Source organism: Homo sapiens, chromosome 3 (assembly GCF_000001405.40).
Source record: "Homo sapiens chromosome 3, GRCh38.p14 Primary Assembly".
NCBI lineage: Eukaryota > Metazoa > Chordata > Mammalia > Primates > Hominidae > Homo > Homo sapiens.
In genome coordinates, this window is record NC_000003.12 from 153,579,795 (window position 1) to 153,606,348 (window position 26,554).

Genomic DNA, 26,554 nt, shown 5'->3' on the forward strand with positions numbered 1-26,554 from the left:
CTTAGCAATTAAAGGAGAGACAGAAGTAGAAGATCACTAAGGTCTTTTAGTTCTAAGATTTCCTCCTGGGCAGTGGAGTGGAGACTCTAGGGGTTCTCAAACTCTGTCTTTTCCTTTCTCCTAAGCAACACTCCTTCTGTGCAGTCTTCTGTTCAGTCTTCAAAAATTCACTCAAATACTGTCTCCTTACTTGCACTTAGAATGTGGAAAATTGCTGTAATGAGAACAGCAACAACAACAACAATGAAGAAGAATGAAGAAGATGACAGCAATTTTTTAACTTAGAAATCTATAAATAGTTATGTCAGGTAAAATACATGCATTCACGGAATGTACACATGACTGCAAGGATTTCCAGTTAATAATTTAAATGGCTGTTTCCACCTCAGAGTATTTTTATACTGCCTAAAGTTCTTTGGAGAAAGACAAAATGCCTTGCTTGAGAAAATCATGATATTCTTAAGTGTGGGATGGATAATTTAATACAATTTCTATATAGTGAGAATGTGATACATGAAGGCCATTGTCTTTTCCTGGAAAAGAAAGCTTTAATTTTTTGTTATAACTGACTTATACCATTTTGCATAAAGTTGAACCTGAGGGAAAACATGCATTATGACCATAACAACTCTGTCTATTAAAAGCTGTCAGCCTCTTTCTGTAAGTTAAATGAATGATAGAGAAAATGCTATTGTATTAGCCTCCTAACTCATCTCTTGTTTATTCTTCATGCAGCAGCCAGTGTCATCTTTGAAACACAAATTTACTCTTATGACGCCCCTAATCAAAATCCTCCTATCACTTCTCACAGATCTTGTAACGTAATTCTAAGCCTTTCCTATAGTCTGTGAAGTAGTTTTAAAGTGGTTTCAAATGCTTCGGTGCTCATCCCATCAAGAGGTACAGCCTCTTTTCCCACCCTCTGAATCTGGGCTGACATTATGACTTCCTTTGATTATTAGAGATGTGTCAGAAAGGATCTTGAGCAGGTTCTGAACTGGGTATCAAGAAACCTGAAGCTGGAGGGACATGGTGGCTCACACCTGTAATCCCAGCACTTTAGGAAACTGAGGCAGGTGGATCATTTGAGGACAGGGGTTTGAGACCAGCCTGGCCAACATAGTGAGACCCCATCTCTACTAAAAATACAAAAATTAGCTGGGCCTGGTGGCACGTGCCCATAATCCCAGCTACTTGGGTGGCTGAGGTAGGAGAATCACTTGAAACCAGGAGGTGGAGGTTGCGGTGAGTTGAGATCACACCACTGCACTCCAGCCTGGGTGACAGAGTGAGACTCTGTCTCAAAAAAAAAAAAAAAAGAAAGAAAAGAAAAAAAGAAACCTGAAGCTGGACTCTCACTCTCTGGAACACATCTGCCACTGTGTGAAGAAACCCAAGATAGAAAACCTTCTCAGCTGAGGCCCTGGAGAACCAAGTGAGGACATGCTAGACCAGGGGTATCCAATATTTTGGCTTCTCTGGGCCACACTGGAAGAAGAACTGTCTTGGGCCACACATAGAATATACTAGCACTGATGATAACTGATGATCCAAAAAATATATTTAAAGATCTCATAATGTTTTAAGAAAGTTTATGAAGTTATGTTGGGCTGCATTCAAAGCTGTCCTGGGTCGCATGCAGCCAGCAGCCTAGACTGTAAGCTCCAGCAGATCTACCCATTGACTGCAGTGCATGGAAGAGGGCAGGCGAGACCAGCAAAATTGCCCAGTAAGAAATAATAAATCGTTACTGTTTAAGCATGTTTGGTGTGATTAATTACATAGCAGTAGTTAACTAATATGGCCTATAAGGCACTGGATGATCTGAGCAGGGGTACCTCCTTACCTTACCTCCTCCACCTATTTCAACCACTCTGGCCTCCTTGCTATTCCTCAACCTACAAGGCAGGCCCTACCCTTCACTCTGCCTGCAGCCCCCTTTCTCCCAATAGACACGGCTACTGCATTCACTAAAGTCTCCTTTATCATTCTGTCAAAAATAGCAACCGCCTCTCTCCTCCCTCTCATGGCCACTCTCTACTTCCATCCCCTGCTGCATTATTCTTCCTAGCACTTATGTACTTAGCTATATATTATTTTCTGGATTAACAATATATTTATTTTCTCTCTTTCTTAACCTGAGTGTAAACTTCAAAAGACAGATATTTTATTTATTTTGCTTGCTAGTATATCCCCACTACCAAGAACAGTGCCTGGAACATAATAGGTGCTCAATTAAAAATATGTTGAATGAATTATTTTTCAGTTCCTAGAGATTATTCCATGGACATTCAAAGTAGAAAATCTGTTCCTCACATGTGTGCTCCAGCTTATATGTAATACATTCTAGGGACTAAGACAGAACCTTAAACAGAAAAAACCCTAAAAATCCTGGAATGGAACACTTGGTGCATATGTGCTCTAGAGTTTTCCTGGAAGATAGAAATGAGAGTTGCCTCTATGGAACAGTTGTAGATCCTGTATTTATACTGAGATAAAAAAGAACTTGATGTCATTCAGTTTCTCTCTGGGATTCTTTATCTAAAACACTTCTATTCTATTTTTTTCTAATCCCTAAACAGAATTTTGTGTCTCTGAATGTGCCTCAACCATGATAATTTCCTAACATGTGTCATAACCTATTTCCCACTTCACACCATTCCCCTTCTGTCTCACCCATTTACTTAGGTTTAAGACATTAGTTTTGTGGGTATGTACTTTGCATCAGCTTGAATAACTGTCACTTTTTTATTAGACTTTACCTTTTAGAGCACTTTTAAATTCATGGCAAAATTGAGTTGAAGGTACAGAGATTTCTCATATAACCCCTACTTCACACATGCATAAACCTCCCAGATTATCAACATCACCCACAGATTGGTAGATTTGTTAAAATTGACAAACCTATATTGGCACCACATCATCATCCAAAGTCTATAGTTCACATTAGGATTCACTCTTGATATACATTCCGATGGTTTAGACAAATGTATAATAACCTGCATCCATCATGACAGCATCAAGCAGAGTTGTCTCACTACCCTAGAAGTCCTCTGTGCTTCACCTATTCATCCTTCCCTTTCCCCACAATTGTTGTCTTTTGGTGGAAACAATTTGGACATTAATGAGGTCCCAGGAAATGTCCTAAACACTGCATGTGCATCACACATGTCAAATACATTAAGCAAGGAGACGTTATCTGGTATCCCTTATACTCATTGCACAAAGGTAGGAGATCAACATTATGCATAAAATGCACGCTGCATGCTGCCATTTGTAAGTCGGTTCACATGGGCCAGAATCTGTTTCTGTTCCAACCAGAAACCTGGGTATCATGCTAGACTCCTTCTATTTTTTTTAACCCTTTCCCCATTTATTTACCAAATCCAGGTGATATGAATTTCCAAGCAGCCATCTAATCCATCCTCTCATCTTCCTTTAAGTAATCAATACAGCTATAACTGAGGTGACTATTATCTCTTACCTGGACTATCACAATAGTTTCTTATTCTTTATGCTTGCCTTCAACCTTGCCCCACCTCCAATTCATTCACCACACTGCAGCAAGCCTGTGCATTCTGTTAGCAATGGAAAGACTAGGGAGGGAAGGATGTAGTTATTACTCCTCACATAATTACTTTTCTAGAACGTGAATATACTCAACTTTACATCTGTCATGCACATCTATTTTCCTATGAGGGTAGAAATGATCTCTTGGAAAATTGGCAGTTTTCTTGTATATTTTCATCTCTAGTTTTCTTTTCTTTCTTTTTTTTTTTTTTTTTTTCTGAGACAAAGTCTTGCTCTGTCTCCCAGGCTTGTATGCAGTGGCAGTGGCATGATCTCGGCTCACTGCAACATCTGCCTCCTGGGTTCAAGTGATTCTCCTGCTTCAACTTCCCGAGTAGCTGGGATTACAGGCACAGGACACCACAATTGGTTAATTTTTGTATTTTTAGTAGAGGCAGGGTTTTGCCATGTTGGCCAGCCTGGTCTCGAACTCCTGGCCTCATCCTGATCTCAAACTGCCTCAGCCTCCCAAAGTGCTGGGATTATAGGCTTGAGCCACCTCACCTGGCCTAGTTTGTTTTTCTATTCTTTTGAGAGAATATAATACTTTTCTATCAGACAATCCTGGAACTTTTATTTGCAACTTCTCTTCTGTTTTTACCTTCATTGTAAACAAACAGTCCCTGACGTCCAAGATGGCCAAATAGGAACAGCTCCAGTCTACAGCTCTCAGTGTGAGTGATGCAGAAGACAGATGATTTCTGCATTTCCAACTGAGGTACCAGGTTCATCTCACTGGGGATTGTCAGACAGTGGGTGCAGGACAGTGGGTGCAGCGTACCAAGCGTGAGCTGAAGCAGGGCGAGGCATCGCCTCACCAGGGAAGTGCAAGGGGTCAGGGAATTCCCTTTCCTAGCCAAGGAAAGGGGTGACAGATGGCACCTGGAAAATCGGGTCACTCCCACCCTAATACTGCGCTTTTCCGATGGTCTTAGCAAACAGCACACCAGGAGATTATATCCCGCGCCTGGCTCAGAGGGTGCTATGCCCATGGAGCCTCGCTCATTGCTAGCACAGCAGTCTGAGATCAAACTGCAAGGCAGCAGTGAGGCTGGGGGAGGGGCGCCCACCATTGCTGAGGCTTGAGCAGGTAAACAAAGCGGCGGGGAAGCTTGAACTGGGTGGAGCCCACCTCAGCTCAAGGAAGCCTGCCTGCCTCTGTAGAATCCACCTCTGGGGGCAGGGCATAGACAAACAAAAGGCAGCAGAAACCTCTGCAGACTTAAATGTCCCTGTCTGACAGCTTGGAAGACAGTAGTGGTTCTCCCAGCATGCAGATTGAGATCTGAGAATGGACAGACTGCCTCCTCAAGTGGGTCCCTGACCCCCAAGTAGCCTAACTGGGAGGCACCCCCAAGTAGGGGCAGACTGACACCCCACACGACAGGTTACCCCTCTGAGATGAAGCTTCCAGAGGAACGATCAGGCAGCAACATTGGCTGTTCAGCAATATTCACTGTTCTGCAGCCTCTGCTGCTGATACCCAGGCAAACAGGGTCTGGAGTGGACCTCCAGCAAACTCCAACAGACCTGCAGCTGAGGGTCCTGACTGTTAGAAGGAAAACTAACAAACAGAAAGGACATCCACACCAAAACCCCATCTGTACGTCACCATGATCAAAGACCAAAGGTAGATAAAACCACAAAGATGGGGAAAAAACAGAGCAGAAAAACTGAAAATTCTAAAAATCAGAGCGCCTCTCCTCCTCCAAAGGAACGCAGCTCCTCACCAGCAACGGAACAAAGCTGGACGGAGAATGACTTTGATGAGTTGAGAGAAGAAGGCTTCAGATGATCAAACTTCTCCAAGCTAAAGGAGGAAGTTCGAACCCATCGCAAAGAAGTTAAAAACCTTGAAAAAAGATTAGAAGAATGGCTAACTAGAATAACCAATGCAGAGAAGTCCTTAAAGGACCTGATGGAGCTGAAAACCATGGAACGAGAACTACGTGACAAATGCACACGCTTCTGTAGCTCATTAGACCAACTGGAAGAAAGAGTATCAGTGATGGAAGATCAAATGAATGAAACGAAGTGAGAAGAGAAGTTTAGAGAAAAAAGAATAAAAAGAAACAAACAAAGCCTCCAAGAAATATGGGACTATGTGAAAAGACCAAATCTACGTCTGATTGATGTACTTGAAAGTGATGGGGAGAATGGAACCAAGTTGGAAAACACTCTGCAGGATATTATCCAGGAGAACTTCCCCAATCTAGCAAGGCAGGCCAACATTCAAATTCAGGAAATACAGAGAATGCCACAAAGATACTCCTCGAGAAGAGCAACTCCAAGACACATAATTGTCAGATTCACCACAGTGAAATGAAGGAAAAAATGGTAAAGGCAGCCAGAGAGAAAGGTTGGGTTACCCACAAAGGGAAGCCCATCAGACTAACAGCTGATCTCTCGGCAGAAACTGTACAAGCTAGAAGAGTGTGGGGGCCAATATTCAACATTCTTAAAGAAAAGAATTTTCAACCCAGAATTTCATATCCAGCCAAACTAAGCTTCATCAGTGAAGGAGAAATAAAATACTTTACAGACAAGCAAATGCTGAGAGATTTTGTCTCCACCAGGCCTGACCTAAAAGAGCTCCTGAAGGAAGCACTAAACATGGAAAGGAACAACCAGTACCAGCCACTGCAAAAACATGCCAAATTGTAAAGACCATCCAGGCTAGGAAGAAACTGCATCAACTAACGAGCAAAATAACCAGCTAACATCATAATGACAGGATCAAATTCACACATAATAATATTAACCTTAAATGTAAATGGGATAAATGCTCCAATTAAAACACACAGACTGGCAAATTGGATAAAGAGTCAAGACCCATCAGTGTGCTGTATTCAGGAAACTCATCTCATGTGCAGAGATACACATAGGCTCAAAATAAAGGGATGGAGGAAGATCTACCAAGTGAATGGAAAACAAAAAAAGGCAGGGGTTGCAATCCTAGTCTCTGATAAAACAGATTTTAAACCAACAAAGATCAAAAGAGACAAAGAAGGCCATTACATAATGGTAAAGGGATCAATTCAACAAGAAGAGCTAACTATCCTAAATACATATGCACCCAATACAGGAGCACCCAGATTCATAAAGCAAGTCCTTAGAGACCTACAAAGAGACTTAGACTCCCACACAATAATAATGGGAGACTTTAACACCCCACTGTCAACATTAGACAGATCAACAAGACAGAAAGTTAACAAGGATATCCAGAAATTGAACTCAGCTCTGCACCAAGTAGACCTAATAGGCATCTACAGAACTCTCCACCCCAAATCAACAGAATATACATTCTTCTCAGCACCACACCACACTTATTCCAAAATTGACCACATAGTTGGAAGTAAAGCTCTCCTCAGCAAATGTAAAAGAACAGAAATTATAACAAACTGTCTCTCAGACCACAGTGCAATCAAACTAGAACTCAGGATTAAGAAACTCACTCAAAACCGACCAACTACATGGAAACTGAACAACCTGCTCCTGAATGACTACTGGGTACATAATAAAATGAAGGCAGAAATAAAGATGTTCTTTGAAACCAATGAGAACAAAGACAACATAACAGAATCTCTGGGACACATTTAAAGCAGTGTGTAGAGGGAATTTATAGCACTAAATGCCCACAAGAGAAAACAGGAAAGATCTAAAATTGACACCCTAACATCAAAATTAAAAGAACTAGAGAAGCAAGAACAAACACATTCAAAAGCTAGCAGAAGGCAAGAAATAACTAAGATCAGAGCAGAACTGAAGGAGATAAAGACACAAAAAACCCTTCAAAAAATCAATGAATCCAGGAGCTGGTTTTTTGAGATCAACTAAATTGATAGACTGCTAGCAAGACTAATAAAGAAGAAAAGAGAGAAGAATCAAACAGACGCAATAAAAAATGATAAAGGGGATATCGCCACCAATCCCACAGAAATACAAACTACCATCAGAGAATACTATAAACAACTCTATACAAATAAACTAGAAAATCTAGAAGAAATGGATAAATTCCTCGACACATACACCCTCCCAAGACTAAACCAGGAAGAAGTTGAATCTCTGAATAGACCAATAACAGGCTCTGAAATTGAGGCAATAATTAATAGCTTATCAACCAAAAAAAGTCCAGGACCAGACGGATTCACAGCCAAATTCTAGCAGAGGTACAAGGAGGAGCTGGTACCATTCCTTCTGAAACTATTCCAATCAGTAGAAAAAGAGGGAATCCTCCCTAACTCATTTTATGAGGCCAGCATCATCCTGATACCAAAGCCTCGCAGAGACACAACAAAAAAAGAGAATTTTAGACCAATATCCCTGATGAACATCGATGCCAAAATTCAAGATGGATTAAAGAGTTAAATGTTAGACCTAAAACCATAAAAACCCTAGAAGAAAACCTAGGCAATACCATTCCGGACATAGGCATGGGCAAGGACTTCATGTCTAGAACACCAAAAGCAATGGCAACAAAAGCCAAAATTGACATATGGGATCTAATTAAACTAAAGAGCTTCTGGACAGCAAAAGAAACTACCATCAGAATGAACAGGCAACCTACAGAATGGGAGAAAAATTTTGCAATCTACTCATCTGACAAAGGGCTAATATCCAGAATCTACAAAGAACTCAAACAAATTTACAAGAAAAAAACAAACAACCCCATCAACAAGTGGGCGAAGGATATGAACAGACACTTCTCAAAAGAAGACATTTATGCAGCCAAAAGACACATGAAAAAATGCTCATCATTACTGGCCATCAGAGAAATGCAAATCAAAACCACAATGAGATACCATCTCACACCAGTTAGAATGGTGATCATTAAAAAGTCAGGAAACAACAGGTGCTGGAGAGGATGTGGAGAAATAGGAACACTTTTACACTTTTGGTGGGACTGTAAACTAGTTCGACCATTGTGGAAGTCAGTGTGGCGATTCCTCAGGGATCTAGAACTACAAATACCATTTGACCCAGCCATCCCATTACTGGGTATATACCCAAAGAATTATAAATCATGTTGCTATAAAGACACAGGCACACGTATGTTTATTGCGGCCCTATTCACAATAGCAAAGACTTGGAACCAACCCAAATGTCCAACAATGATAGACTGGATTAAGAAAATGTGGCACATATACACCATGGAATACTATGCAGCCATAAAAAATGATGAGTTCATGTCCTTTGTAGGGACATGGATGAAGCTGGAAACCATCATTCTCAGCAAACTATGCAAGGACAAGAAACCAAACACTGCATGTTCTCACTCATAGGTGGGAATTGAACAATGAGAACACATGGACACAGGAAGGGGTACATCATACACCGGGGCCTGTTGTGGGGTGGGGGGAGGGGGGAGGGATAGCATTAGGAGATATACCTAATGCTAAATGACGAGTTAATGGGTGCAGCACACCAATATGGCACATGTAACAAACCTGCACGTTGTGCACATGTACCCTAAAACGTAATGTATAATCATAATAAAAAAACAAACAAACAGTAGGTCTGAATTCTATTTTATAAAGTCCCAAAATGCAGTGTTGCGGCCTTTTTACTATCTGAAAACATATTGTTTTAATATTATTCTCTCTGGTGACTTATTTCATTGATAGATTTTCCCGTGTTCTACTTTATATCTTTTATTTCCTTTGGTTGCCATATATACACATATAGATATATGTATTTTTTTTTAATTTGGTAGTCCATTTTGTCAAAGAGTTATATGTACTAGAAATAGTCTGGGTTTTGAGAATGTTTCTTGTGCTTGCTTTTAACTTATTGAAAGTCGAGTTCTCTTTCTGTCTCCATGGAAGGTTAGAAACACAAAAATACCCAGAAAAAAACCTTTTGCTTGTGCCTCTGGGCTCACAGTGATCTTGTGTAATATGAATCTTTTTCTGTTGATGCCTCATGTAGCCTTAGACATGAGGGAAGTGTGGAGGAAGATCTTTTCAAGATTCTTGTTAGCTCTACCTTTCATGGAAATGCTATGGAGAGTTTTCTTCTGTCAAGTTGTAAGATTTCTGTTTTGCTTTTGTAATGGTCAGTCGATAAAGTATATACAAAATTGTTAACGGCATTGGGAAAAAATTGCATTTAGTAATTAGAAAACTCAAATTTTTTACTAAATTCACTAAAAACAATAAGCCTTTTATATCTAAGAAATACTTTCTGGTTGAGTTCAAATAATACTTTCTCATATGTCCATTTTATTTATATTTTACATTTAGAAAATCTTGAAAATAATCATAGTACTTTATTATATTAAATCATTGGTCATTAAGTGATCAATATATACTACTTTTTCTAAATTTCTGTGACAACTGAAAATTCAATGATTCATTTAGTTTTTGAGAACTTCTTGCTAAATTCCATGATTACCTATCTATTAAAACCATCTGGTTAGCTATAACTATTCTATTTGTATTTGCATGCTGAAGATGATTTTCAAATAATAAATAGTAGTAGGATTTTTTTTCTTCTTCCATTAATGAACAACTTTTAACTAACCAGCTTTCCAACCATTGCTGTGATTTTATGAGGAAAAGTTGTGGATATTCTTATAAACCAGTGAAATAAAACATTTATAGAATGTTAAAATGTGTAGGAATTCCACAATCATTGCCAAAGCTATGTACCCTACACATAACTTTTGATCTCTACTCCATACCATCCTTATTTGGGGGAACTGATTCAACTAGAGTTAGTTTCTGGAAGAAAATATCCTAAATTGACATATCATTCTTGCTAAAAAATCCATTTTTATGACTTCCATTAAACTCACATTAAAGACTTCCTTTGCTGCTTAGCCAGTAGAGAAGACAGGAAAGTGAGGAATGTTGAGGGAAGTTTTTAGAAAGGCATGTCCAGTGTTTGCTCTCCTGCTCTAAGTTTATTGTGTAATAACAGGCATTTTTAAAAGCTGGTTTGGGAATATAACCACCATTTTTAACATTCTTGCTATAAGAAAATTCATTCTAATTGCCATAAATTATAAACCGTTTTCTGAAATTCTTTTAAAAACGAGTATAGCTGGTATGCTATGCTTTAAGAAGATCATTATAAGCCTTTTAAATTCATAGTAATTTAATGTTCTATGTAATTTGGATTTCCTCATTTCACATGCAGTCAGCCTCTACTCTATGTTAAGTGTTAGCTAGAACTCGTGAGAAATTAAGAACGCTAAATAAAATGTGGTGCCAAAGGGTTTACAACCTCTTCAGAAAGAAGAAAAAAAGTGTCTAATCACCATATTCAAGATGAAATGAGAAAAAAAAATGAGAGAGAGAAGTACTGCAGCATGGGGGAGTAGGGTTGGAAGAATGGATCTCATTTATTGGCTGGGAAGAAAGAGAAGACTGAAAGTCTTCATGAACTAGGATCAACTAATATAAATTATTCTAATATGGAATCTAATATAATTCAAGAAGCAAAGTTAATGAGTACTACACAAAATTTCACTCAAAAAAATAAAAGATAAAACTGAAAACTGAGAAGACATTGCCTAATTTATATTTCTGAAACCCTTGCTTCTGGTGATTTTTTAAAATTGCATTCAGTAATCAGAGCAGTACCAACTAAGGGAAAATTAATGAACAGAAATCAAAGTGCAATGGCATTGAAGATTTATCTTTTTCTCCTTTAGGGACAAGAGTTTCATAGTAGTCCTGTGTGTCTGATGTCACTAAGACTGGAACTGAAAATAAAGCATGCCAGAGGAGATGACAGAAAGAAGAAAGACAGAAACAAAATTTCTCTACAAATCACTTCACACTTATTTTCTTTCCCTTAGTACCACATGTTAAAAAGAAAAAAGAAAGAAAGAAAACAAAGAAGGTATCTGTTAGATATAGAGGTTAGTAAACACTATGAAGAAGGTAAAAATGAGATGTGGAATTTTTATAAGGAGAGAATCTAATGATGCAGCTTTTACTATATCAGAAATTACTGTATAGGCCAATTATCATCCATTGATATTCTACTAAATTCCAGGTATTCTATATGTATATGTATGTGTATGTGTGTATGTATATGTATATGTATATGTATATGTATATGTATATGTATATGTATATTCTAGTATGTATTCAACCATTGCAGCAACTTTGCATGGTAGTATAACTTTCCTAACTTCAGCAATGAGCAGACAAACACTCAGAGTGATTAAATGGTTTGCCTAAAGCAATGGTCTGCAAACTCACAGAGCCAGTTAGCTACATAAGAAATCAACCTGGGTCTACTTAATTCCAAAGTCCATACTATTTTCACCATAGAACATGGATGTGGTTGCTTTCCTAAATTACTCCACCCCAAAGGAATTTTGAGGGAAGATTTGATAAAGAATAAAAGAATGCAGGTTTTAGATGACTTTTCTGATAGCAGAGGTAAATATGGAAGTGAGAATCCTCAACATTAATGGAGGTCAAGTTCCTGACTAACTTCAAGTCCATGCCAGGAGAAAGTAACTGCAGGAACAATGTGGGTCTTGCTTTTCAGTGAAGAATTTGAATGGAAACCTGTGGAAGGAGGACAAGAAGTTTTTTTTGCCTCATTTATTGCACAGATCACCCTGCATGTTCTAGTGTCCAAAGGAAGAGGAAGATGGAAAGATGACACAACCAAAGCTTCCCTGTGGCTTCACCACAGCTTAGGGTTTTGAAAGCCGGAGATTAAATTTGATTTATGACCACCAGAAAATTTCCCTAGAACCTAGTGTGGCAATTCTCATTAGGCAACTGGCCATTTCTTTAAGGTAATCCTAGACTGTAGCCCTGCCATTGTTCTCACTAGCTATAGTACTCCTAGAGATCTAAGTGCAGTTACTGCAATACTAATACTCAGTGGGTAGGTTAAATCTGAAGAAAATTTTGCTAGCATCAATTCTGTATTTTCTTTTTTACCTGGTAGGAAGGTCAGGGAGAGCCCAAAATCTCTTTCTACCTACAGTCTGATCCCTGTGATTCTACTCTGAGAATTTAACCCCTTTCATTGAAATCTTTGGTCCAAGGTAGAACCAGAGAAACCTCCAAGAAGAGGTCTTTGCAGGTTCTGGCCGGATGGAACAAGATAACCAGAAGCTGGAAGTCACCTAAGAGTATGGAGTGACAGGAGTGAGGGAATAAGAAGAGGAACAAACATTGACTGAGGCTTCAGTGTCCCAGTCCCTGTGCTCAATTCTTTCACATTCCTTTTCTTGTATAATCTCCCAAGCAGTTCTATAAATAGCTAACATTATCTTTATTTTACAGACAAGGAAATCAAGGATCAGAGAAGCCAGATAAATTGTGATTTGTAAGTAGCAGAAACCTGAAACAGTAACCAACCTTCCCTTTATCTGGTTTTGTTAGAAAAAAAATGAATTTTAAAAATGTATAAACATGCCTAATTGCCAGAAGAACATTTTCCCATGCAGTGAACACCCCAACCTCACCAACTCTGTTTTGAAGGTGAATGCTACTTCCTCAATGAATTTGTGACTTCTTTTATTGGTTGCCAACATCACCCAAACTGTACAAACCCAAACTTAGCAGTGGGATCATCTCTGCAAACAAGGGTTTCTCAGATCATTAACAATACCTGTTGCAAAATGGTAGGTTGGGGGACACTTTATTCAACAAAAATCGAATCTACTTTAAATATAAAAGAGGTGCTTCTACAATTCTTTCTACTGACATTTCTGATAGGATTTTTTCTTATTTAAATTGTTTGTTTATGTAAATTAGTATCTGTTTTTCTAAGTTTTAAACAAGCAATCATCTCCAACTTGAAAGAAATTATTTTGAAACATCACAAGATCTAATTTATTGTTATTTCGGTTGGCAAAATATTAAGTGTATTGTTTTCAGTGAAACACATTGGATATTTGTGTAGAGTGCATCTGAACATATTTACATAAGTAATTTAGAATTATGCTTTTTTCCACAAATAAAAAACATACAGCCTTCATATTAATTATTTTAAATCACATCCTCATTGCACTAGAAGAAATAATTGTGTTTTTGGAACTGAACACATTTGTTGTGCAAATGAGAATGCTCTTGCTTCTGCTAAAATATGTGGAAATATAAGACCTCATCTAACATAATGTGTTCTGTTTTGTGAGATGACAATTACATTTCTCACATACAGAGATGTGTCATTAGAACGCACAAGGGGGGCACCATGCTATTATTCTTTGTGGTGAATGAAGCGTGATACTGATGAAAACCAGAACTCTCATTGATAATGCATTGTCTGGTTTCATTTTCCAGGTAGTATCAAACACCATGTAGTTTCCCAATATATTTAATTGGATATGAAGTTAGACTGCTCATTTCCTAAGCTTAATTTTCTCTTCCAAATAAACCCTAAAGCAAACATGATATAAATTAGCTTTATTATTATTTTTTATTTAATCTGATTACGGACACTTAGATCTTTTTGTTCTGTTTCTGAGAATCCAGAGATTCATTAAGTCCTCTCTTCTGGTTTTATATCCAAAAGATATATATATATATATATATATATATATATATACACACACACTGGTATATGTGTGTGTATATATACATACACACACATAAGTGTATATATATATATACACACACACACATATAAAGAGTGGGCTGCTCATGAACAGCTATTATGCAGCTTCTAAAGCTTTTCATGTATGAATTAGGTAGGAATGTGTTGGTTGCATGTGGCAGAGATCTTAACCTATTGTCTAAAGTCAAGAGCAGTGCCTGCTTTTGTCCAACTCAGTGCAGGGGTTATTCCAGCTGCCAGAACCTTATCTCTTGGCTTACCTGTGCTACACACACACACACACAAACTTATATATACACATGAGTGTGTATACATATATATACATATACATACATATGCATATACATAGAGTTCTCCTATATAAAAAGACATTTATATAGGAGAATTCAGATTTGTTACTGAAATAAATTCTTAGCAATAATAATATATTTGCATTCTCCTCTTCCCTTTCTTAGAAACTACTCTTTGATCTGCCTTCTCTCAGAATGATATTGTGTAAATTACTACTTAATTTAATATTCTTTAAAATAGGATAGCATCCTTCTCCTCTGGTAATCTTATTCCCTGAAAAAAATCCTTGAGAATTGTACATTGTTTTTAAACATAAAAACTGCTTTGATCTTTTTGTGAGAAAAGATGTATGATTTACAAGCCCCTTTCAACCTACAAATTCTATATTGTGTGTCTGCTGGGCACAAAACATGATGAAGTTTCCACAGGAATAAAATGAAGTGTAAGATGCCATCCCTTCTCTCAATGACCTTATAAATTTTTTGGTGACACATAATAGAAACACCTACAAATGATCATATGTTACTTTTGTACTTGGAAATCACTTAACTTTCTTCCAGCAAACTAAGAACTACTAATTCCCTCCCATCTATTACTGTTCAAGCAAGATAGCACAGGTAAGCCAAGACATAAGGTTCTGGCAGCTATACTAACCCCTGCACTGAGCGGCACAAAAGCAGGCCCTGCTCTTGACTTTAGACAAGAAGTTAAAATCTCTGCCACCTGCAACTAACACATTCCCACATGATTCATACATGAAAAGCTTAAAAGCTGCTTAATAGCTGCTCATGAGCAGAAATTCCTTTTTTCTCTGTGCAGATAAGGAAGTGAGGTGCTACATTCCTTTGAGAAATTTAGTTTCTGCATAAAACCAATTGGGACAAGTTTTCAATACAAAAAATATTAGACATTATCCCAAGATGGAAATTTTGGTTCCTGAGTCCTCAATAAAATATTGCTGTATTTTAAATAGAAGCTCGAAGTGTGACCCCTCTCAGTAACTATGTAGGATGCCATGTAATCATGAGGGAGTCTCTTTCAAGATGACAGAAAGAAAATGAGACTGGGAAAAAGAAATTTTCCCCTTCTTGGCTCTGTAGCAGTAGTTCTCAATCAGGATGATTTTGCTTCCCAGGGGAAATTTGGCAGTGTTTGGAGATATTATTACCACTGGGGTAGAGAGATTAGTAGAAAGGTGCTACTGTCACCTAGTGGAGAGAAACCAGGGATGTTGTTAAACATCCTACAATGCACTGGACAGCCCCTGACAACAAAGAATTATCTGGCCCAAGATGTCAGTAGTACTGACATTGAAAAGTCCTATACTGCAGAGTACTCCTTAGTGTTGAGATATTTAGTTGGATAGGATTAACAAAACTAATAGGAAGAATCAATAGAAATGCTGCTTACATTGGATCATAGAAAACTAAGTACAGTTGCTCTTATGTTACAATTACCTACATAGTCATATATTAGTTGCCTATGAAAGATATTTTATTGTTTCAGTCTTCCCTTATTGTCTTGTAACTGTCACATAATAGATCAACAACCTAACTGGTATTCACAGCCTTTGTATGGGCTTCCAGAGGTTTTTGGTATGGGGTATCTATGCAACCTTATGATTTAAAGAAGCTAGTCTCAACTGGGTTATTTCCCATGTCATTTACGTAGGTATACTGCATGTGTGACTTTGTATTAGGCCTTCAAAGTGAAATCAAATATTTGTGCATCTGAAGTCAAAGAGGAATACTCTTTATTTAAAATTGTTTTATTATACTTTAAGTTCTGGGATACATGTGCAGAACATGCAGGTTTGTTACATAGGTATACATGTGCCATGGTTGTTTGCTGCACCTATCAACCTGTCATCTACATTAGGTATTTCTCCTAATGCTATCCCTCCCCTAGCTCCCCACCCCCTGACAGGTCCTGGTGTGTGATGTTCCCCTCCCTGTGTCCATGTGTTCTCATTGTTCAACTCCCACTTATGAGTGAGAACATGTGGTATTTGGTTTTCTGTTCTTGTGTTAGTTTGCCGAGAATGATGGTTTCCAGCTTCATCCATGTCCCCGCAAAGGACATGAACTCGTCCTTTTTTATGGCCGCATAGTATTCCATGGTGTATATGTGTCACGTTTTCTTCATCCAGTCTATCATTGATGGGCATTCAAGTTGGTTCCAAGTCTTTGCTATTGTGAACAGTGCTGCAATAAACATACGTGTGCAAGTGTTTTATAGTAGAATAATCCTTTGGGTATATACCCAGTAATGGGATTGCTGGGTCAAACTAATTGTTTAAATTAGTCAATCGATATGTTTTTTTGTGGCAGAGTTTGCTGAGATATTTTTCTATAGACCAGTTCAGAAATGACTGTATTGAAATGAATGTCAATCAGCAGAGTCATTTGAATAAAATCTGGTGTTCAGTTTCACAGACACAGGATGCAAGGACACCCATAGCAAAACTTCTGATAGAAACTTTGGTGTTTTCGAAAGCAATCTCGTGTATTTAATTTTCCTTAAGTCACTATAAGGTGGAAAATTATTTCTTTGTCAAAAGGATCCTATAAAAAGTTCTGAATGCTAAAGAAATAAAGGCCATCATTTTGCACAATAAAAATAACAACCGCATAAACTCATTAGCAGAGAAATTTTGGTGTCCCACAGGACATTTTGCAGATAAAATATCAAAAGCACTTTGATGCACTCAAACGTAATGAAAATCTTTGACACTTATAACATTTTAGAATATATCTAAAAATTGCTCAAATAAAAATAAAAATTCCTACTGGTATAGTCTAATTACATAAAAAAGAACATTGTAGTTTAACATTTATTTAATTTCAGTCACATATTCTCAAATGATAAAATATTTATTTTGTAATCTTTCTGTTTTTTATTTAAAAACAAGATCATCCTTATAAATAGGAATTGAAAATTTAGTAGCCCAAATAAAATTTTTAATAGCTCTTCTTCCCTATGGAAGATAATAAGTAATAAAATGAATAAAATGTGTATACTTTACAACTCAAATCATATTAATTGCTACATGCTCTAAGCAAATTATTCTGCTGCCATTATAGGTCAAAGCTCAACCTGGGATAACTTTATTATTCAGTTTATAAGATAGGTAGGCATAAATGTCATTATTTTAAAGGTTATAAATTTTAAAAATCGAGACAGGAATATGTATTTGTTCAAAGTTATCTATTCATAAGATGGGAAAAGAGTCAAGATAACAAGATATGTATTAGATGCAGAAGAATTCCATCACAGTGAGATGATCAGGAGATTTTATAACAGATATAACTGAAAGCATTGCTGTTTGAGCATATTTGTTTACAGATAAAATGTCACGATTATTTTTACTGGTTTTTTTTGTTTGTTTTATTGCTCTTTTTCTCTTTGTAAGATGAAACAGATTTGATTAGATGAAATAAGAGCTCTCATCTTATCCAGGTGGATTTATGTAGCTGCACTTATTGCTGACCAGGAAAAAAATACTTCATATTCTTCTAGCCCAATGCTTTGCAAACTTTCTCACTAAAGTAACCCAATGGATGGTGACAATATAAGCATATCCCATGGAATATAAGCTTTAGCCTGATTCAGACACTGCATGCCTGCCATTTCCTTGAAATTTAACGTTATGTTAAAAATACATTCAAATTCATGATTCAACTTCTTAACACAGCAGTGTCTTGGCATCTCAGTTTGGAAAACAAGGCACTTCAGCTGGTGTCTTGGCACAGTAAATCTCCTATAATGGAAGATACCTTAAAAGTTACCTAGTGTGGTAGTTCAAAATGTTTTGGTAGGCTCACAGTGCTTGTCTGTTCCTCCCTTCATTAGCTACTATAATTTTTTTTTCATTTTGTGAAGACAAATTATTTCATCACTGTGTGGCAATGAGTAAACCATTCAGTCTCTCTGGGCCTTTAATTTCAACTGCAATGTGGGTATTTAGGTAGATTATTATAGTCTGAGGCCTGAATTCCGACCCCAGCTTTATTTATTACTCATTACCAGGATTTTTAAATTTTTTTAATGAGATCCAAAACAGCTTTATTATGAGTAAAATATTAATGTATGTGAAAAGTAAGGTAATGAGACTGCTGTAGCATAGTGCCTTGCACATGATAGGCTCTCAATGGCGTTGGTGGAATCAGGTTAATGAATTCAAAAAGAGGATGCCTGGACTATTTAGACAAATCTTGAAACCAACAGTGATCCTCCCTACTGATACAATCTCTGTGCTCCTACTTGAACTCACTCATCTAAAATACAGACCAGGACAAATGAAGTGTATTATGCATGTCAAGAGATGAAGTCTCAGTTCCATCATAGTCTATTCCAAAGTTTGTTATTATCTCTGATGAGGAAAACACCTTTTATTTAAGCTAATGCACAATTGCTATGATTTAAGCTTTTTTTTCCCTCTGTCATGCTCCTTAATTGGAACAAGGAAAGGGTTCTCTCTTTCTTTGGACATTACACGTTATAAAATTGAAGTCCCAGCTTCTTTTCTTCCTCTTCAGAATGAGCCCTCTATATATTAGGCTCTTTCTTTACATTATGAAAAAATTTATTATTATACAAGTGTATCTCTATGTATGTATACATAAATATGTATACGCACACACACTCCCACGTACAACTTTTTTTCACAAATTATTTTCAGAATAATAGAGATGACTAAGTTCAGAGAATCTCTTCAAAACCATTAAGGTTATTGGTTTTGATTTCAAATAAGAAAAATAAATAAACCTCATGCTACAGTGTGCATTAGCCACTTTTGAATTTTCATGAAAATAAAAAACATTATTCTGAATTCATATATGATAAATGATGGTGGATTTAGAAAGCATAGCTGTGGCAGAACAAGTTTAGGGAAAGAGAATTGTGCCACCTGAAGAAAAGTCCTGAGATTAGGAATGAAAGACAAGTGATCTGGTGGGGCACCCAGAAGTGCAGAAGTCTGAGCAGACAGTGTGGAAGCGGATGAGGGGTTCAGGTTTATATACAACAGGATACTGCACTTGATTGAGGTAGGACGTCTATAAATGTCTGAGGATAGGTTTGCTTCTCACAATGACAGTTGATACTGGCATTTAGTGGCATGAGACTAGGGATGTTACAAGGCAAGCACTGAGACAGTCCCACCCACCCAAGAACTGTATGACCCAAATTAACCATAGTGCTGTCATTGAGAAACACTAGCAGGATAAAGCAAATTTCACAGGTTATCATAGATAATAGACTTCAAGTTCAGAAAGGTGATCTGGATAGGCAGATTCAGGAATCTGCCTGGACTGAGCAGTGGAACAAAGTCTTAGAAACAAGGTGTTGGCTAAAATCACCAGAGTCTACTAATTGATGGCCATTACCACCAACGATCAGTGCCTATTGTGTTCAAAACCCATATCCAGCACTTCAGGGGAAAGACAGACAATAAGGACCTTACCCCTAGTCCACTGTGGGCACGAATCCTTTATCACACAGAGCTCCCAGCCAGACTGGGTGATCAACACTGCCTTCAGGAAAACATAAATATGGTTCATAGCACACACTGCCACTGCCAGCCTTGCAAAGTCACTAATAAGACACAGAAAGCACAATGGATCTATTATCTTGCCCTGATTTGTGACCCTTATACCTTACTTCCCTGACTGTGGCCAGACTTATTTGAGTCCAAAGAGTAAACTGTGGTCAGCAAAGCTGGCTGGCCATCAACAAAGATTCATGGTCACCCCTGTGGTTTCTGTTCTCCGTGAGTGAATCATTCCTTGGCTTCTGCCACTCCTCAGCCCTCCGAGTCTATGGGGAAGAGTGCTTCCTTAGGCTCATGTGTGGCTGGACTGCCTGCCAGAACCTAAGCACATACATTAGTCCCTGTAGGCTATGTTGGAGCCTCTAATCTCCCTCCACCTTGTGCCTTTTTGTATTAAATCACCTAGATTTTTATTTCTGAGACTTAATTATCAAGGACATTTAACTTGGCTAATTTTAGAGGCAATAGTTGGTTTTTATCTTTAGAGTTAATAAAAGAGGTAAATCATATATCCAATTGTTTGGGTTTTTTGGTTTTTAAAACCTGATCCTTAGAAGGAAAACTACGGTACATGTGATATGTAGAGCCAAGATTTGTTATGGGTTATAAGAGAGTGAGATTTGGCGGAGGTTGACAATTTGAAGAATCACCATGAAAACGTATCCTCAAGGAGGCATTCGGTTGTGATGAAAAGCTCTGCTTGTTTCCAGAAATAATTTTTATCATTTGCTAATCACTGGGCTCTTTTCTCGCTTAATGGCCTGAGATCAGAACTCTGGAAAGAATCTTGGAGAAACCAAGGGCTTCATGCCTGGCTGCACAAAGTACCAGCATTCCTTCAGCCCAGGGGCAAAGAGTGGGGGAAACTTCTACTCAGCCTGGTAAATACTGGGAGCTTCTCCATAGAAGAGACGCGGGACCCTGCTTCTAAGTGGAAGGGCTTACTGTGATGGGCCTCTCTCTATTATACTTGTTTAGGAACTTTGAGACTTTGGGGTCCATTCTTTAGGCACAAGCAAATGGAAAGAGAAAGAATTTATTTCCTTCAGGACCTTACAGATAAGTAGATGCTTTTCTAGGTAGAGGTAAAAATCATTTTGTCATTTCCTTTGTTTTTAAAGAAAATGTAAAAATAATACTATTACTGATAACAAAATTAGCAGTATTTTTTGGTGTAGCTTCATGCTCACAGAGTCATGCATGTTTATGTTTGAAGGGGTTTCTTGAACGCAGGCCCATGGTCTCTTCCTAAATATGTTTGACACTCATGTGCTTTGGAAAGCAATTGCATGAAGTACATATCAGCTAACTTTTTAAGTCTTGCAACACTTCCTACACTCACAATTCGGAAGCTAACCAAACATAATTGAAAATTACAGGCATCTAAAACAGATAATTATCTTTCCAGAATTAAGTTCCTCTTGGGAAACTATTTTTACTCAAATGGTTCACTGGAATGAATTTCTTCTAAAGAAAATGTGATAGCATCTTAATCCATTATTAACTCATTGCCTTTAACTTTGGCCCTGATTTTGAGCAGCAATAAAATCAAAGATTAAACATGCTTATACTCATGTCAGGTACTTGTAGCTCAAAGGGCCTGCTTTAAATTATGTGTGTTATACGTCTCTTTGCTTAAAGTCCTAAGCAGAAATTTAAAAAAAATCATCCAACTGGACAAAATGTAGGCAAGTATACTGACTATAATATTTATCAAACTTTCCTAAGGAAATAAGTCAACAAGTGTTACACAATTTCCACTTCCTGCCAAGATAAAACAATGAGCACTGGGTTTACCCTTTTATCTCAAACAACAAAAATATCCAAGAGGTAAAATTTATATTTATAAAAGTTTTCAAGACATGAGACAAGAGGAAATGAAGGACAGTAAGTCCAGAGTGAGGCAAATGAAGCCATTTCAATGACTGCTCCCAGCACTGCCATGAGCCAGTGTCCAGGCCACTGATCAGGGAGGAAACTCAAGCAGAGCCTGGTGCGCTCCCTGCTGAGAAGACAGAGTTGACAGTCTAAGGGGGATCAGGCAGCTACATCTTATGGGACAGGACACAGAGAAGGAGAGGAGAGTGTGGCACAGACAGAACTCCTGAGATCGGCAGAGAGTCCTTCTAGAAACTCTAGCAGAGAACTAGCAGCACATGTATATAAGAAAATGACTTGAAGCCAGAAAAAGAAAGCATCTGAAAAGATTAGAGGAATGCAATAGTGACTGATATCCACATAGGGCTAGAAATAATGCTTGTTACCACAGTCGGGCTGGAAAAAAACCTTGTCACTTACAGGCAACAGTTAGGTAAATTCAGGATGGTTTTGCTTCAGTAATGGGGAATAATTAGCCCAAAATATGCACTGCTCTGGTTCTACTTAATGAATCTTAAATATAAGACTCTAGAGGATAAAACTATTTCCAAGTACCTTAACCACATCCCAGAACAAAGCTCAATAATTTTTATAGAAATACAAAAATACTCAACACCCAATAAATGTTACAAGCAGCAAATCCACAATCCTATAAATATTCTTTTATGTAATAACAAATTCATGGAACAAAGGCTTATTATATTGAGAAATAAGTACTAACAACATGCAGGTTCTCAAGAAGTTTTACAGTCTAGCAGGGAGCAAGAAGGGTAGCGTATCTCATTGGGGAACCATGGATCTGCTACAGTGGGAGACCACAGATTCAAGGTGGTTATTCCATGTGAACGAGGCTTTGGCAAGGGCTCTTCTTGTTTCAAAGAAGAGTAGTTCTTCCCTTCACCTCAAGCAAAGTAGGGTTTATTAAAAATACAGTCATTGACTAGAAATGGAAGCAACCAGCAAGCCACAAGGAAGCTGGGCAGCCACTCAGGGCCACATGGTCCCTCACACACAGAATCTGTTTCTGCCTGTGCGTCCACTCCATTCTCCTCTCTCTATGGGCTGTTGTCCCCAGGACATCAGCTTGCATGGCACAAGAGAGCCACTGCAGCCCCACATAACCCATGACCTGGCTGCTCCTGCACCTGGTCTCTCTGTTTCTACATCCCCAAAGAGAAGCCAGTAGGCCCCACTCCACTCTATCTATGAGCTGGATCACACCATGAGCATCATTAAGTTAGGGGTCCCACCTCTTTGCCCAATCAGCTGTGACTATAGACAGAACATAAGTATCCCCCACATCAGTGCTGTGTTCAGGGCAGATTGACTCAGCAGAGGTTGAGGGCAGGCAAGAATTCTTTATTCAGGAGTAGCTGGAAAGACAAACAGATGTTTGCCAAGCAGATGGGAGACACAGAGAGCATTGCATGCCGAGAAAACCATAGAAATGTGAGTACTTGGTATCTAGTCCCTAGAAGATACATTTCCTTGTTGGTCCCCCTCTGCTTAAAAAATATGGTTGTATATACAAGTCAGTTCTACTATTCTGCCTATTTGGTCCCCTCTTTGGCATATTTTTCTTATGGAATTGACAGAAATGGTCTGATTAGGGATTTTTTTTTTTTTTTTTGAGATGGAGTCTCGCTCTGTCACCAGACTGGAGTGCAGTAGCATGATCTTGGCTCACTGCAACCTCCGCCTCCTGAATTCAAGCGGTTCTCCTGCCTCAGCCTCCCAAGTAGCTGGGACTACAAGTGTGCACCACCACACCCAGCTAATTTTTGTGTTTTTAGTAGAGACAGGATTCCACCATGTTGACCAGGATGGTCTCGATCTCTTGACCTCATGATCCACCCGCCTTGGCCTCCCAAAGTGCTGGGATTACAGGCATAAGCCACCACACCCAGCCTAGGGATCTTCTTAATCAAATGCATTGATAGAAAAAAAGCAACCAGAACAAGTTTTGTCTTTGTGCACTCTGGCTGGTAGGACCAAATCTGCAGAATTGTGTTACATCTGGGCAGTATCCTGAGTGGGCTTTTGGCAAAAAAGGATGGATTGAGAAGGGGTAATGAGTAGCAAGAAGCATAAGAAAATCATATCCTGAGGAATGATTGACAAAACTGTGGAAATTTCTCTTGAAAACAAGAAAACAATTAGTGGGAGGCTACCCGACAGCTTATTTAGATTATCTACCTGGGCTGCAGAGAAGGGTTCCACTGGATCTGATGATGATACTGGAGGCAAAACTAACTTCATGGAATGGAAATGATTGGCAGACAAATTTCAATGCAATAAAAGGAAAAAAATACCACAATTACACAGTGTAGTTAATAAAAAGTAAATGAGGTTTATTGTGATCCAGGGAATGCCTCTCAACTAGAATCAAGGGCTAGATTAAGCTATTACTTAGTGTGGAAGCTGAAGAAAAAAGCAGACAACCCTGCAATTGCTTTTGCTTTTGTCACAGAGGTAATGCAATGCAAAGCTGAAATTTCTTAGATTGAAAGATATTTAGTAGTGAATTCAGAGGATCATTGTTAGTTCTCCTTAGGGTAAGACATAATATTTGCACATTATTTTTAAAAGCAGTGAAATCTTGGATTGCATTTTTTCCCAAAAAGCAATAAAAGCTTTGACTGTCTAATAAATTTGATGATGCAGAGGTTAAGAGAGATAAGTGACTTAATAACTGTGTTCTATTTTGCAACATGGTCCACAAGGTACAAAGGAATAGTTTACAATTTTAAATGACCCTACTTCTGAAACCAGAGTATCTTTTCTTCTATGATACGGCTGACCCGGTGTGCTGATAATGATATAGTAAGCACTGCTTACATGCCATCCCAACAATTCCTCAAATCAATCTAATAAAGAAAAGGAACAGAGCACAACACTGGAAGGATGGAAATGCATCCTGTGCATTGGCATCTTTATATTTATGAAAATATTAACTAGAATTTACTGCAGCCACTTAAGACCCTGCATGGCTCCTGTTGTACTAACCGTGTACTCCTTTCCTTACCTCTCAGAGTGGGGCACTCACACCAGAGAGTTGCATCCTAGTTCCATCACTTACTACGAGACTCATTCACGTGGACTGCTCCATGCCTCAGTTTCCTCATCTGTAAAATAGAGATAATGATAATAGCTTCTTTACTGCATAATTGTGAGAATTAAAGTTTCATATATAAAAATAGTGCACATTATTTCTCTCCCGTTTACCATTTCTTTTTTCTTTCTTTTTTTTTTTTAGACGGAGTCTCGCTCTGTCGCCCAGGCTGGAGTGCAGTGGCGCAATCTCGGCTCACTGCAAGCTCTGCCTCCCGGGTTCAAGCCATTCTCCTGCCTCAGCCTCCCGAGTAGCTGGGACTACAGGCACCCGCCACCATGCCTAGCTAATTTTTTGTATTTTTAGTAGAGATGGGGTTTCACTGTGTTAGCCAGGATGGTCCCGATCTCCTGACCTCGTGATCCACCCGCCTCAGCCTCCCAAAGTGCTGGGATTACAGGTGTGAGCCACCGCGCCCAGCCCCGTTTACCATTTCTTTTTACCCCATGCCCCCGCATCATCTCAAAGCATCATTTCCAGCATCCTCAATTAATGCTGGAAATGAAAGAACAGAAGCTAATCTATGATTTGTTTTTCAATTCAGAGGAAGGATCCTTTTTAGAATTATTTCCAGGTAGTTAAGATTTTGAATTTATTTCTCTCCACGTATTTTCACTTTTCTTCAAATGAAGAAATAAAAATAGCCTGTTAATTTGGGTACCTTTTGGAGTGATATTTTGTTAGGTGGATGTGAGCAAATTACTTTTAATAGTCGTAGCATCCTTTCAACTCTAAAAGTACCTGCTTGTTCCCAGATCCAAGTCCCTTTGTGGCAGTTTTCAGCATTTCATGAGTTTGAGGACATAATCTCACCCCCTATTGCTGGAATTCTCTTTGATAGTCGAAATCTTTCAAAGATTGTTGGCTACTGTTGTTTCTTAGCAGGGTTTGGCAGGCACAATGACAAGTATCTGACAGACATGTGTTTTTCCATTGATAAGAAGAAAAGTTTCCTGAGACAAGTGTGTTGAATATTCATGCTAAAATTTTAAAAATGTGTTGTACATTTTCCTCCTGCCCAGCACATGCACTAGTATGTACACGACATAAAATGGTATCATCAGCCCCCAAACAAACATCTATAACAAAATCTTTTCACCTGGTGCTGGCAAGGCCCAGGTTCACATTGTGAACTGGTGAGGCAGGAACTTCTTAGTGAGATTGTCTACAGCTCTGTTAATATTCAGCTGACAGAGCCTCACCAGCATCTGCTGCTAGAGACTATGAACTTGTTTTTCTCACAATAATTAGGTGAACTGAATTATCCTCCCAGGAGTATTATACCAGTCTGAGGTAGTCAAACCATCACAAACACACATACATACACACACACACTCTCACACACACACACCCCCCAAAGATAATTTTCACAGGAGGAAAGCCCTGAGAAAATCTGTTTATGAAAATAAATGTAACCTACTATAACAAGTTCGTATAAATAAAAATGGAATAAAATGATGTATTTCCTGATGTGAATGACAATAGAAAAAGCACCATTCTGCCCTGTTAGGTAAAAGAAAACTTAAATGTGTGCTAATAGAGGGGGAAATTAGGTTATATTCTCAAATAGAAGGTCCAATGTTCCTTTATGTCCCCAAATTAGAGGAAGGCATATG

At 38.3% G+C, this 26,554-nt stretch overlaps 1 long non-coding RNA gene across 1 annotated transcript in view; it reads right to left on the bottom strand.

Annotated features, from left to right (window-relative positions):
* Window positions 1-26,554, bottom strand: part of LINC02006 (long intergenic non-protein coding RNA 2006) — a 378,977-nt gene that overhangs the window by 196,245 nt on the left and 156,178 nt on the right. Inside the window, exon 4 of the long non-coding RNA NR_146713.1 lies at window positions 24,852-24,951. This is a non-coding gene — a long non-coding RNA (long intergenic non-protein coding RNA 2006). The remainder of the gene's footprint in view (window positions 1-24,851; window positions 24,952-26,554) is intronic.